At 35.3% G+C, this 16,241-nt stretch overlaps 1 long non-coding RNA gene across 1 annotated transcript in view; it reads right to left on the bottom strand.

Moving 5' to 3' along the window:
• Positions 1-15,953, bottom strand: part of LINC01701 (long intergenic non-protein coding RNA 1701) — a 39,450-nt gene extending 23,497 nt beyond the window's left edge. Inside the window, exons 1-2 of the long non-coding RNA XR_001737811.1 lie at positions 15,857-15,953; positions 14,085-14,162 (exon numbers count right to left, since the gene is read on the bottom strand). This is a non-coding gene — a long non-coding RNA (long intergenic non-protein coding RNA 1701). The remainder of the gene's footprint in view (positions 1-14,084; positions 14,163-15,856) is intronic.
• Between the last annotated feature and the right edge of the window lie 288 nt (positions 15,954-16,241).

The raw sequence follows: 16,241 nt of genomic DNA, 5'->3' as shown, positions 1-16,241 counted from the left end.
GAAATGCTGAGATGAAAATTTTTATTCACCATAGACCCTGAAAACTCAGATTGTGTTCCTCAGAGGAAAACTTTTTTTTCCATCTGCTGGACTTGGTGCTTCTTAAGCTTCAAACTGATTAAATAAATAGGGTTCCTGTCACAGAAAGGATTCTTGATTCTAAACTCTAACCCGATAGCGCACTTCTCTTCCCTCCTTTTCTCCTGAGACTCCTCCTTTTGATCCAGCTCCTCCCAAAACATTCCTATATTTCATTTTCTCTTCTTTAGTTAAGGCTTAAATTATTCTTCAGAAAGAACTTAGCATGACCCTTCCAATTGCAGCCCCAACACTTAGTCACATAAACAATTTGTTTAGATTATCTGAGGATGTGGATATTTATTTCTCTATAAAATTATAAATGTCCTTCTAGACAAACATCTCCCGTAGACTTATGAAATAATTTCTGGCAAAATAACCTAAAAATTAAAACCACAGTTGAGCTTCAATGCTATCATGCCCCATAGTTTTCTTGCCCATGCCTCACGTGCACAGTGATCCTTCTGGCCTATATCCCTCTATTCAAAATCTTAGAGCAGAAAATTTGATTGGTTTTAAAAGTTTTTAAAAAGTGCCAACTCTATAAAATGCTTATTTCTGAAAATGAAAATAAGTTTTCACTCACATACATAAATAAAAAATACTTATTGAAACTGTCATTTATTCTGAGTTTTTGGAAACACTTAAATTACTTTATGTTTCAAATGAGATAAAGACATTTACAAAATCCTTTTCCAAAGTGAATTTTTACTAACAAATTACCAGTATCAGTTTTTAGGAATGCTTATGTGAATTCAATTTAAATTAGAGAACCAGAGAGATAAAGGCCAATGAGTCATACAATGAACTACCTCTGAAATTCATAATTTAATTAGGGAGTACAAGATGCTTTTATGAAACAGTCCTTTTCCTTTTAAACGCAAGAATTCACAAAACATAGATTCAACGTTTGCTCAGTAAAATCTACCATTAGTAGATGGGTAGAATTCATGAGCTAGCTCTGTAAATGTGAGAATGTGTTGTGTTGTTTCCTGTTTTTCTTCTACTTAATATTATTTCCGTTAATGAATAAATCACTTCATTTGAATAAATCTTAATGAAAAATTATATGAAGTATATACACATTTTAATGTTTTGATCAACAAATATAGCAGTGCAGTAAATTATGGTATTCATTGGATCTAATGGGATATAACAGAATTTTTCACTTCCTTCAGACTTCTGAAATGTGGGTGTAATAATAGACTCCTATTGCTAGGGTTGACTCATGGGAGGAGTGTTTATGGGACTCCAGAGGAAATAAGCTAGTGGTAAGTAACATATACGATATAACTGTTTCATCTTTAGCCTTTAGTCTGCAAGTGTCAATGCCTATTTTTTTGTGATTGTTTGCAAATATGCTCATACATCTATAATGATTATGTATGACCTACATGCAGATACAATAAACACATATGTGTATGTAACCATGAATCTTCACTGTGACCATCAAGACAAATTTCCATGATTCCATTGTACATCATTCCTAACCAATAGACCAGGAATCTCATATTATTCATCATCATGGAGAATCTATTTGTCCTAAAGATGTGCCTGTCATTTACTGTCAGCTGCTCTTCAACTTTGAAATTTTTCCATTATATCTTCAGGGAATCATGCTCGGTCATCAGATAAATACATTACATTCTAAGTATCTTTTTTGAAAAATTGCCTTCACCTTCTTAGTGGAACTGAAACCCAGATCTTACTGAGGCTACTGCTTCCCTCATAGTACTCCCAAGTGACAGTCGTTTTCTTCCACACAAACTACATATTAAAGATCTTGAAGGTGGACTTGGTAACACTCATGCTCTCTGTTATGGTTTGCAGAATATTATTCCTCTCTTGTCACTAAATTACTCCAGTCATAAATTTTGACACCAGATTACACCACTCACTTTCTATCCTTTTTTGCTGTCATGCACATAGGAATACATACACGTGTAACTCTGAGTGTTCTTGTAGAGACTTCAGTCCCTGCTCCCCTTCCCACTATATTTCAACCTCACCATCACAATCTACCAGCCCATTTTTCACCACGAATAAAAAGCTTTAGCACCTGGCTGTTATGCCATCTAAAGTTAATATTGCTTTATTCCAGGTTACCATAATATTCATGGAAATTATCTAATAACTTCGCTACTCAGTTTCTTGACCTCCATTTATCCAGTAATCATGTTCTTCATTCTACTTCAGTTGTCCATTCCCACAGAAAAGTCTATCCTTTGTTGTTAATAACATCGTCATCATTTGTGATCTCAATTTCAAGCATTCCACTCTGCAACAACCACCTTCTATCTTGTCTTTCCAGCTCAGCTTCCTATCTTTTAGTACCAAGCAATTATAACCACTTATCAACCACATCATTTTCCTCAATTATTGTTATTATTTAAGTGTCATGTTCTTATTGAAGCTTTCTTTGGCCACAGAGTACAAAATTGCAACTGCCCACCCACGTTGAGCTCCATAGCACTCTTCTGAGTTTGTATTCCACAATAGCAGAAATGGTGGATATATGGTGAAACTGATGATGCTTACAATTCCTAGTTCCTCATTTGCACTGGCTCTTTCAAAGAACTTCTAATTTTGTATCCACAATATTTATAATTTTTTAAAAAATTGCCATCAAACTATAGAAGAGTTATATAATCCACAAAATGTGGATCTTCTCCTGCTTAAAACTTATCAATACCAACTATATAGTTATCTTTTTGTTTTTTCACATATGTATTGTCTAACTTCCCTCAGTAGAATGCAAACTTCATAAGGTGCATTAGTCCATTCTTATGCGGCTATAAAGAATTGTCTGAGACTGGGTAATTTCTAAAGGAGAGAGGTTTCATTGGCTCAGAGTTATGCATGGTGGAGTAGGCCTCAGAAAACTTACAATCATGGCGGAAGAGGAAGGAAACGTGTTTCTTCACAAGGCAGCAAGAGAGAGAAGTGCAGAAGAAAGGTGGCGTGGCAGGGAGCCCCTCATAAAACCATCAGATCTTGTGAGAACTCACTCATTAACATGAGAAGAGCATGGGGAAGCCATTCCTACAATCTAATCACCTCCCAGGAAGTCCCTACCCTAACAAGTGGGGATTATAGGAACTACAATTCAAGATGAAGTTTGGGTGGGGAAACAGCCAAACCAAATCATAAGGGAAGGGATTCTTGTTTGCTTTAGTCACACTGTGTTCTCTGTCTCACAAGGAATAACTTGAATATGGCGAACATTTGATGAATTATTTCTTGTTTCTCAAACTTATCTCCATTATTAATGTTGTAATATTTTATTATTAAATGAAGAAACAACTGGCCAGGCGTGGTAGCTCATGCCTGTAATTCCAGCAATTTGGGAGGCAGAGGGAGGCAGATCACGAGGTCAGGAGTTTGAGACCAGCTTGGCCAATATGGTGAAACCCTGTCTCTACTAAAAATACAAAAATTAGCTGGGTGTGGTGTCACGCACCTGTATTCCCAGCTACTCGGGAGGCTGAGGCAGAAGAATCGCTTGAAACCGGAAGGCAGAGGTTACAGTGAGCCGAGATTGCACCACTGCACTCCAGCCTAGGTGACAGAGCGAGGCTCAATCTCAGAAAAGAAAAAAAAAAAAGAAAAGGAAAAGAAAGAAAGAAACAACTAAAATCCTGCTAAACTGAGAATAAAAAGTAGATATAAACGCCAAGTTCCAAAATTTACAAAGTAGAAAAATTGTAAGGTATAAGATGTAGAATGTAAATAGTTTGTAGATTCACCAAGGACGCAGATATAATAGATAAAACTGCTTTAAAAAGAAAAGTTTAAAAAAATTCTGTATGCTTCCACAAACAGATCTTGAGGGGAAAAAAAGAAAAAAATGTGCATTATGCTTTAAAAAATGCAAAGTGATCATGTGGCCCTGTTTACTCTTAGCGCAAAGGCAAAGTAGCAATCTGAACTTGGTTGCCTAGCAACGAAGCGGCGGAATCCGCGTTAGTGGAGTAAGTTCAAAGCAGTTTCACAGAGAACGAAATCATGCTTCATTCAGAGTCATTTCTAATTTTAAAAAAAATAGTAAGACGTTAAAACTTTGTATAATTCCCCATATTTCCTGAAGATAGTGCAGGTGCATTAAGACAGTTTTTACAAAGGTGAGAAAATAGATGTCAATTTTTCTTTTTTTTTTTTTACTTTGAGTTTTAGTGGTGACATCAGTTGGAGAATACATAAAATAATACGCATTTCCTTAAGCTTGAAGTGACTGTTACAATTTTCGAAGGATGTCAAATTGGCAATAAGAATTTAAGTTTGTGTGTTTGTGTGTGTGTGTGTGTGTGTGTGTGTGTTTCCACCCAGAAACTATACCCCATTCATTTAAAATCAAATGCTTCCTCGGTTGAAGCCAAAGGTCAGAAGCCTTTATTCTGACTTCAAAGGACCCACAGCAGTGACGATGAAGGCTCCTGCGTAGAAGATGCATTATTTATAAAGATATAAATCCTCCAGTCATTAAAAAGAGAAGCTGGGCAGAAAGAAAACTTAACAAATATGCATTATATCATGTATCTTCTTAAATGTCTATTTTAAAAAATCATTTCTCTAGTCCTTTTTACATTTCTGGAATGGAAATCATGGCAAAATATTTCAAATAATTTACTCATTTGGGAAAACCGTAGAATAGGGTTAGAACTTCTATTAGCCATTTAAATATGGGTACATTTTGGACATGTGTAGATTCAGGGTAGAAGGGAATTTAGGATAAGAGAACAAAAAGAGCAAAATCTAAGATATGAAGTGATGTAAAAGAACACTGAATACATTATTTTGACTGAGGTAAGTGGAGATGAAGGGGAATGCTAAAAAAATATGGCTGGAAATGCAGATTGCCATAAGAACAAGTAAAGATTATAATGATAGTCTACAGAATTTGGTTGTGACACTACAGGCTGACAGAAAATAATGAGAATATTCAAACAAGTGAATTAAATGGTAATAGTCATGCTTCAAAAAGTTAAGTCTGTCAGATGAGTAAATGCTAAAATGGAAATGAGAGAGAATGAAGGTAGAGAGATCAGTTAGGAAACTACAAGAAGATTTATTTCCCACAATGAAGTCCAAGATGAGAAAGATGGAAATAGGAATAAAAAGAATTTATCCCCACAGTGCTTGCAGGGGCCTGTTTCTTCATGTTTCCTCATGTTTCCTCGCCCTGGAATGAAATCTTTACGTGACTGGTTCCTTCCCAGCACCCATGTTTTATCTCAAATGTTGTCTTGAAAAGCCTTTTCCTTACAACTGCCATCACAACTTTCATTTTATACAAACTACCCTATTGGATTGAATTTGTAGTAACTACCATTTTCTGAAATGATCTTGCTTCTTCAGGTGTTATTTACCAGCCTTCTCCCCTTAAACCACTCACTACAATATAAGTGCCATGGAACCAGGGTCCTTTTTTCTTTTATTCACTTCACATCCACAGTGTGTTGAAGAGTTCTTGGGATATTCTAGGCACTCAGCAAATTACGTTGAAGAATAAATGAAAGAATGAATAGCAAGTGTCAACCAGTGATTGTTGAATAAATGAAGAAACCACTGGGATGAATAAGGTCTCTTGAGCTCATGAAGCTTAGATCATAACAAATTTTTTATGATGTATCCAACAAAAAGGAGTTGTCAACAGAAGTTTTAAAAGAGGAATTTTTGAATGTTTGTTTTACCAATGTTGTTGTTTTATCTGAACCTAGGGTTGTAGAATTTAAAATAAATTTTGAACTATATAGCATAATTGTGTCTGTATTTGGTTAGGAAAATCACCAGTTTTATAACCTGTGTAAATTGCTTAATTTGCTTTAATGCCCAGTTTTCTTATCTGTAAAATATGAATAATACTGTTTTAAGTATTAGGTATACTTCACTTTTTAAGTATTAAATGAGATAATTCATGTGAAGTGTTGAGTGCAGTGATTGGAGCATCATGACTTCTGATTATACATTAGCTATTATTATGAAAACTATTATTAGCCACTGTGCATGGTTAAAAGAACAAATTTGGGAATGAAACTGCCTACTTTAGAGTTTGCTTTTTAACGCTACTGATTTATATTGGCCTTGTTCTTCTTGTTTGTGTTAGAATTATTTTTTCATAGGACGTTTGGCATAGGAGTTATGTGAACAGAGTTTGCAGCCAGACTGCTGGTTTTGAACTCTGGCTCTCACGTTATTAGTAGTGTGTGAAGCATGTTACCTGCTCAAACCTCTGTGGCTCCCTTTAAAAAGGTGCAAAATACATATAACAGTACTACCCAACAGTGTGGTTATGAATATTGAAGGGGTTTAGTGGCGTAAAGTTCTGAAAACTGTGCCTAGCACATGGTAAGTTCTATATGGGTTGTTGAAGAAAAAGAAACCTAATACTGTTGTTATAAGAGATAAACAAATTAATCATTAAAATCACATAACTTAGTAGCAGTTTGTAAATCCTCAATAAATATTGTTACCAGTACAAACATCTACATTACTTAAATCATTATAGCTTGCAAAGATATTCTAGCATTGTCAGTTCATATAAGAAAATTCAACACCTCTAACAAGAATTATGATCTCAACCTCTGTACAGACACATGCATTTCCAAGACACCCACAAAATTATTCCAAAATGTGTATGAGTAATAATGAATATAGCACCAACCATGTCTTATTTAGTATTTTAGAGTTCAACTTTTACCACAAAGCTTGATCTTAAGACTAAACTTGTTCATTGAATTTATGTAGCTATGCTTATTTTATAAATGTAGTACATCAATGAAAATTTTAAATTATTTAACAATCATTAGACAGTCATCAAAACCCAACAATTAAACCACATTGAGATATCACTACCCACCCACCAGAATGGCTAAAAAATAAACAAAAAACTCTCCCTATGTTCCATTAAAGTTATAATTCAAGTAATAATCCTACTTGCAATATTAAAGTGTTTCTCCTCATTTTTATCAATACTTGATGTAAAAAAAATTTGTGAAATTTTCACTGATCTATGAATGTGGAGCAGTGTCTTGCCACTTTAGTTTGCATTCTTCTTATTAATGTGATTATCTCTTTAGCTTCGTAGAAACTTGGGATATTTACTCCTATATATTTAATTTTTATATTCATTTTCTATTTTTCTATTGAGTAATTGATAATTTTGTTTGTGACATATAAGTTGGGTCTCTATTTTGAATATTATTCTACTGTTAGTTATATGTGTTGCAAATATTCACTCAATACTTGAAAATGTCAATTCAATTTAATTATGGAAAACTTTATCAAGCAGAGTAGTTATAATAAAAAGGTTAAATTGGTCAGTCTTTATATTTATTGTGTCTTATTTGAGAAAGAAATGTAATTTTATATCATCAAATATCCTGTTACATTTTTTCCCCATAGATTTTTCTGTTTTGCTTGTCTACTTGACTATCCCATATCAATATCCTTATATAAGCAAAGCCTTGGAGTTCATGGCTGATAGCATAAACTTTAGTCAATGAGAGACAGGAGTATGTGGCCACTTTTAACTTAAAATTCTGTAGTAAGATTTCTTAAGGTACATGTCATTGACATTATTTTAGAACAGTAGTTTCCAAGGTTAAATTGGCAGTCCAGAAACACCAGTATCCTCTTGGAATTTGTAAGAAATTAAAATTCTTGGCCCCATCCCCAAACCTACTGAATCAAAAACCCTGGGGACTAGGTTCAACAATCCATGTGTTAACAGTAATCCCTGATGATTCTCATATACGCTTAAGTTTGGGAAGGATTTTATTAGAGCTCTACAATTATGTAATCAGGCAAAGCCAAGTGAGAATCTCAAAGATTTATAGATTTTATGGCTTTAACAGGTAAGAAAATAAAAAGAAAAGCGTTTTCACCAAGAGCAAGCATGTTTTTGAGCTATGAGAGAAGACTTAAAATATCTAAAAATCTAAAGAAATATAAATCCAATCAAATAATACAGCAGCCAGGGTTAAGAGAAGAAAAAACATAGTATACATATATGACACGCAGAGGCATGGCTGTATGGCCACTACTTTCTTTGAATTATTGTTTATCCGTTATAGACTATAAATTTGGCTAGTAAATCCTATCAGTGCTAGAAAACCAGAATTTAATCCAGAATTTAATCTTCATCACGGTTATCAAAAATGGTCTTCAAGGAAGTCATGCAAATTTAGAAAGTAATTCCCCAAAATATATGGTAAATGTTCCTCAAAATGTGGGTGATCATAAGAATGATCTGTGTAGTGGTTAAACATATTTTATCCAGAAGAAAATTTAGATTTACATATACAAATACTTAAGAGAATGAAAGTTAAAACATTTTTTAAGAAATCTGTGCAAATATGGAATTTTACGTGCATGTCATATTTATGACATTCTTGCTGTCATAGGATTCATTTCCCAGAAAACAGACTTGAGGCATAATCTTAGGGGATAACCCTGCGGCATGGACTGCATTATTTAGGAAACAGAAATAAAGGAAAATGAAAGTGAGATAGAGAAAGAGAAAATGTTATGTGGAGTTATATAGAACTACCATAGCTCCAACCAGTCTATCTGGCAATTGGAAGGGAAAAGAATTTATCCACAGACTCCTGTCTCTCATTGCCCAAAGTCTACTCCGCCAGCCATGAACTCCACTGAGGCTTTGCTTGTAGGTTCCAGAGGGTATTCTTGGCATCTGCTGCCACAGTCCAAGGAGAGCCTGAAGGCAGACGGCAAGAGTTGGGGGACTGTATTCTCAGAGGAGCAACTGGGGGGTGTCTGAGCAGCTCCAGTAGTGGGCTCCTCAATCTGGCAATGCAGTGATTAGGTTTCAGTGTCATGGGAACAGCACAAACTGTTGCTGAAGCTGCTCAGGCTAGAAAGCAAAGCAAGCATGCAAATCTGAGCTGATGGAAAAACCGAGCACACAGGCCTATTACACTAATTCAATCAGTCTCATTATTAAAAACATGGGAGTTAGGCTGTAGGCTTACTCAAAGTAACAGTGAATATTAACAGTGAATGTTAAAACTTGCAAGATTCATAAATAAAAGCATACGATTTCTATGTTTAATTAAAGACCTTTATGTTTTAAATTTGTAAGGTTTATTAATTTTGAAAAAAAGACTAAAATTTTGTTTATATCAATACAAAAACACATTCTGCTCTTTTATTTGAAAGAAAAAAAGGGAAATAAATCTCTCTTTGATATAACTTCTTTCTTCAACTCCCGCGCAATCTCTTTGCTCCCTGTTATGGTTTGAGTGTGTCTCCTCTAAAACTCATGTTGAAATTTTACCCCCAGTCTGGCAGTGGTGGAGTAGGGCATAGTGGGGTTTGTTTGGATTATGAGGGCACTGCCCTTCTGAATAGATTAATGCCATCTCACAGGTGGAAGAGAATTTTTCTTCTTACCGGAATGCATTGGTTCCTGTGAGAGCAGGTTGTTATAAGCAAGTGTGCTGCTCCTGTTTTGAACTTTTCCCATGTGGCTGGTTCCCCTTCCATTTCTCTGTCATATTTTGGCACAGGAGAAGGCCTCACCACCAACTGCCAAATGCTGCCACCCAATCTTGAACTTCCCAGACTTCAGAACCATGAGCTAAATACACTTCTGTTCTTTATTAATTACCCAGTCTAAAGTATTCTCTTATAGCAGCACAATTTGGACTAAGTCACTCTCCTTCACAGAAAGATTTCTCAAAAAAGTTTGTACTCAATGTCTTTATTTCCTCAATTTCTTTTTCCTTTCTTTCTTTTTTTTTTTTTTTTTTTTTTTTGAGACAGAGTCTCTCTCTGTCACCCAGGCTGGAGTGCAGTGGCACGATCTCAGCTCGCTGCAAGCTCTGCCTCAACCTCCTGAGTATCTGGGACTACAGGCGCCCGCCACCACGCCTGGCTGATTTTTTGTATTTTTAGTAGAGATGGAGTTTCACCGTGTTAGTCAGGATGGTCCTGATCTCCTGACCTGGTGATCCGCCCGCCTCGGCCTCCCAAAGTGCTGAGATTACAGGCACGAGCCACCGGGCCTGGCCTGCATTTCCTCAATTTCTAACCTCATGTCAGTACTCATGAAACAAGTCAAACATCTTTTTTCAAGATCAATGCTAGTTTACAAGTTGCCAAATTCTATATATTATCCTCATTTTAGGTAATCTTTTAATTCAGTGTTTGTAAGCCATAAAAAATTACCCAGGTGATTTCAGCAAAGTGCAAAAATAAATATATTTCATAAAATTAAAAGAAATGTTAACTACCTATGTTCCAGAAAAGAAGTGAAACCATGGATGCTTGTTAGATATAAGTAGCAAAAACTAGTAACTATCTGTTCAGTACATTGTCAATAAAATAATAAAGAAAAATTAATGACAATTTCCCATCTACATGTTTTTCTGGAAAGGTTTAAAGTTACAGGGGCAAGGTTGAATTGACCTTTCCAGCCTTTGTAATCCAGTTTGGGTTATAAAGCCATACATTTCCTAGGGTAAGGGCATGATGAGCACCTTGAATAACTGCCTGACTACTGGTTGTACAGTACCAACTGCAGGGTCATCCTCAATGAAAAATCTTTAGGTACCTAAAAATGGTGAATCATTGCTCAATAGGAAAAACAAAATCTTCCATACTTGACCACCACTTATTTCTTTAAGCTCCTCCCTCCTTCTTCCCTCCATCCCTCCCTCCCTTCCTTCCTTCCTTTTATCACCTCTCTTTCTCTCTCTCTCTTTTTCAGTTAAATCTGTAGTTCTCTCAGCCTCCTCTGCTGACAGTTTTTCCTATTCCAGCGATATAACAAATACATACCTGAAGCTTGGTACCCTCATTAAAGCATTCCTCTTTGGGAACTAAAACTTCAAAATCAGTAGACCCCCAAATTGTGAAAATGGGAAGCAAACATTTCACAAAAATAAAATAATCACCAATAGTAATAGTGAGAATAGTGACATCTTGATTCCTTTACCTATGATTTCTGTCTATGGAAGAAATTATACCATATTTGATGCTGATTTGGAGCATATAGCTCTTCTGGGAGAACATTTGACATTACTTCGGCCCCAAAAGGTGTTGCCAATACAGCTAGCATTAAAACTATGCCTTCTTAAGGCCGTTCTATTTCCATCTCAGGCTACAGATGGGAAACATGGTAAGACCACTAAATTCCATGATTTTGAGTCTATTGCCGTACATGATTTGCTCTAACAGAAGTTTCCCAGTCAAAAGTAATGCTATGTGTAATTCTATAATGTTGAAAAAGATATTTCAAAGACCACAGAAGGTGACTTGTGCATAAGCATTGCTAACAAAAAAGGCAAATTTGTATCCAGAGCAAAGGATTATTTCAAAGAAAAGTAAGCATTTCTCTTTTCATGATAGAAGTGGCTGGATGATTTTTTTCCCATATTTCCAGGGCAGTGATGCCATGTTGGGAATGCAGTATTTGCCTCTGCCCCTGGCAGTGTGGGAAGGGTTTAGCAAGTGAATATTCCTGTTGCTGAACCCATGCAAAACCTCCATTCCCAACACCATGCTGCTTTGTTTGTGAGTCTATATGACAAGGAAAAGATCAGCACCTATTACAGAACATTTCAACTTGTCCACCTGATTATTAACATTTTACTCTTCTATGGTTGCTTCTTAGTGAGCTGCTCATGAAACCCAAGTAGCTTCACACTCTATGCCCATTCGGAGATGTCTAATATGTACCTCTTCCCTAGACCTTCTTTCCTAGACCTCCAAACTTTCCAACTTTGTTTTTTCAGTTCTCTGATTATCCAGCCAAAATATTAGCCACTCTCAATACTCAGTGTAAATTCATTTGCTAGTTCTCTCTCTCTGTGAGCAAAATGCTTAGCTTTCAGCAAGGCTTAAATCTCTGATCCTTTTTCTTGGAGACATCATGAAGAGGCAAATAATACTTCAGCCACCTATTTACAAGAGGTAATAGCATATTTGTAAAAAATAATCTGTCAACCAGACCTATTATTTTTTTCCCAGTCAACCTATTATAGGTATCACCTAGGAGTCCATAGTTGCAGATTTATAGGGAGGAGGCAACTTAGAGTAGGAGGCATGGGAATTTGGTCATGTGCCATTTGGTCACATGACTTACTTATTCCCTCAGAATCTCTTCAAGCCCAATAGCATATATAGCACTTCCATTTAATGATGGGATGCTACTGAGTCTGCTTGCCAATCTTACAGTATATTGGATTAGACAACACTCAGTTTATGCTGAGCATATCAGGTCCCATGGTAACCTGGCTGGCTCATAGTCAAGCCAGCGGCTATTTTGTAGAAGCAGAATGGTACAACTTTGCTTTGAAACCCTAAAAATTTACATTTATTTCCCTTATAGAGTCCTGCTCATGGCTCCTTACAGCATTCTTATCTACAATAGGTACTTTCAATACCATTAGATCTACTGTGCCACAATGACAAACTGGCAGAATAGCTTCATGGTAGCCTAGATCTCTTTCAGTGACACTATTAGCTGACCACAACAGGAAGCTAGAAATCAAGAGAAATCAGTTAATGTCATTCATAACGTCACCGCATTCATACCCATGAAACAAGGAAGGTAAGAATGGTGGATACTAGATTGGAAGAACAAATAAAGAATATCAAACACACTAAAACTGGCATATTTTTAGGATCCATCATTGAATCAGTCCAACAAACATCATTCATATTTTTTGTATTGAAGTGGGCAAGAGTGTTTTTGTGATCTTAGAAAATTCACTTTACCCATTTAGCCCTACGTATCTTTTTTAAAAAAATTTCCAACTTTTATTTTAAGTTCAGGGGCACATGAGCAGGATGTGCAGGTTTGTTACATAGGTAAATGTCTGCCTTGGTGGTTTGCTGCACAGATCTTCCCATCAATGATGTATTAAGCCCAGCATCCAATAGCTATTCTTCCTGATGCTCTCCCTCCTCCAACACCCCAACCTCCGACAGGCCCCACCCCTGATGTGTCCGTGTGTTCTCACAATTCAGCTACCACTTATAAGTGAGAACATGCAGTATTTGGTTTTCTGTTCTTGCATGAGTATGCTGAAGATAATGGCTTCCAGCTCCATCCATGTTTCTGCAAAAGGCATAATCTTGTTCCTTTTTATGTCTGCATGGTATTCTGTAGTGTATATGCACCACATTTTCTTTATCCAGTCTATCATCAATAGGTATTTAGGTTGATTCCATGTTTTTGCTATTGTGAATAGTGCTGCAATGGACATACACATGCATGTATCGTTATATCAGAATCATTTATATTCCTTTGGGTATATAACCAGTAATGGGATTGCTGCGTCAAATGCTATTTCTGCATCTAGGTCTTTGAGGAATCGCCACACTGTCTTCCACAACAGTTAAACTAATTTACCCTTCTGTCTATGGCCATACCACCATGAATGTGTCTCATCTTGTCTGACCTATTAGTCTTTATATGTACAATGGGAATGATAATAGTTCTTATTTCAAAGAGTATATAGCATATAAAAATAAAACACTTAACCCATTGCTTGGCAAAAGTAACACATTTAATAAATAGGGGATGTTAAATTTGCTGATCATTTAAGGTAACTTTTTTAAGTAGATAAAAAATAAGTTTGGATAAGTTTACTGGCAACAGAATATGAAGATTCTGAAATCTTGGCTGAGGAATTAGGACTTTTTGATGCATACAATCGGCACTTAGTAAATCCAAGAAATACTTAAGCTTAATTACTGTCAACAACTAGATGGTTGCACTAAGAATTCTTTGGCAATTAATTCACTGTTGAAAACTATTCAGAGTAGGGAGAACATTCTGCTTGTCCCAATGATAATTTCAAAACAATAAAATTAGCTTTGTGCTAATGTAATCCTTAAGGTACTGGACATGAAGTTTTATGGTAGTAAAATCTCAGGCTGATGCAGTAAATAGGTGATGACTGTAAGACAGGCAAAACCATCATGCAAGAGAGAAACATTTTCAGATTCTACCAATTTGAAGGCTCCTCTCACTTTACCTTAATTCAGGCTGCAAAATAAATCCACTTCCATTCCATAGCACATATCTTAGAACATGCAGAATAATTAATGATGTCCTGAAGAGAAGTTTACAGAGAGAAAAGTCATTCTTATACCAAAATAAGAAGTAACAACTTAGCAGACTCTAAGTTGAATGTTTCAGCTTTATATGGATCAATACAATAGCTACTTGTAACCAGAATTTTTACATTTCAGAAATGCTGCAGATGAAGGTTCCAACAGTAAATTTTGAGACATTACCAATCAAAAGACAGATTTTTTTTTGCAATTGATATAAGTTGCTTGTTACCAAGATGAGAAAACCTAAAGCATATACATAAAATTGAACCAAGAGAATGAAAGGAAAAGTTCAACACTATATTTGCTACCTTGGTAAAGTTTTCACAACTACATTAGGAAAAAGATTATACAAATATAAGCTGAAGTTTGAATAAGGCAAGTGCCCATATCATATACTTGCCTGACGTTCTTTCCTTACCTCGGGATGTGTAAATTAAAAATGGTGTATGGGTGGGCATCAGGAAAGTCAATACATTTTTTAAAATCTATAAATGTGTAATAATGTAGAGAAGGGAGAGAGAGCTTTCTCTAGACATTCAAATTAGTCTGTGACTCCTAAAATGGCCAAGAACAGCTATACAAGTATTATTTGTAACCGTGAATATATAGTTAATGTTGGTCAAATATCAGTACACAATTTTTCATGAATTTAAGGAAGATTTTAGGAAATTTTATTGGTAAAAATTATAAATATGACATCTAAAACATCACAATTAGATTAATAAATTCTGTAAGTTTGTTCATAATGTTTCCAAAGTAAAATTTTAATCAAACAATAAAATTTGTGGAAATGCTACATCGATCAATGTTATTATTTATGCACATTGATAATACACAAGCAAATTGTGTCAGGCAAGTTATACTCAAATAAAGAAATAAGCATCTGGAAAAAATTAGAAATAAATGAGCCTGAGAAAACATTCTTTGATGACAATTACACGTATTATCAATGATTAATAGAATTGGTGAATATGAGAACAATTCATATTTATTCCGATCATTTGAGGCACTAGGCAAAAGGACCTGTATTTCAGAAAATGGTAGCTTATAAAATATTTGTTTTTCAATTTATACTAAAAACGGTATTAAAGTCTATAAAGTAAATATTGCGCTCAAGCATACCACATTTGTGAGTCCCACGAAGAAAGAAAACAGATTTACATTTTGGCACTGATAACATTATATATTTAGAGTTCATATGAGAAAAGTAAGCCAACCTATCACTCTCATTATATAAATATGGTGATATTTTAACTAGTCTGTGCAAGAGAACATAATGAATAAACATGATCATTTTCTTCAGGTTTATCAATTTAGCATGTGACAGAAATACAAATGGAATTCAATTGAGAAGAGAAGAGATGTATTAGCATATTTATTCTACCTATAAGTAGGGTGATAGCTGGCCTGAAGGATAGAGAGGATCAAAAATTTAAACAGCAAGAAAATTGTTTCTCTAGGCTTTACTTTCTGTGATATTCTGAAAAGACCAAGCACTTGCTACTCCTCTTATCAGTCAAGTTACTGAATCAATTGAGAATAAGTCATGGCAGTCAACATTATTACTGATAATGCTAAGTTGAAAGATATAGCTTAGATAGCACAGCCAAGTGGACTTGTTAAGTGAACCACTGATTTAGACAGACTTATCTTCCAGTCACAGGCAATGATGGTGGAATTCTTTTCATACCTCTTACAAGCTGCTCCATTCCAGAAAAAGTTGTAGAGCTGAAATGAGTATGTCCAATTTAATCTTTCCAAACACGTCAGTGGATGAGTCATTCTATTTTTCTGTGTAGGAGGATAGAAGAGACTTTGAGTTACATTAATTGAATTTTCTTTTTCAAATGAAAAGAACATGAATTGGGGGGAGGTGGTTCCCCAACATGTGATATTTTGGTTTATTTCTATATGTCATGCTTATTCTCTGATGATCAGCATGTATTGAAGGAGGTGTGACAACTCGCAACACACTATTCACAATCTCAAAACTCCAAAGCAAAACAGAAGAAAAAAACCACATCAGAAAATGTGCTTTTCTCAGTTCCAAATTAAATATTTCTACAGAAAATGTT

This window comes from Homo sapiens, chromosome 1, assembly GCF_000001405.40.
Source record: "Homo sapiens chromosome 1, GRCh38.p14 Primary Assembly".
Lineage (NCBI taxonomy): Eukaryota > Metazoa > Chordata > Mammalia > Primates > Hominidae > Homo > Homo sapiens.
Note: the sequence above shows the minus strand (reverse complement) of the source record. Positions and strands in the feature narration are given on the sequence as shown.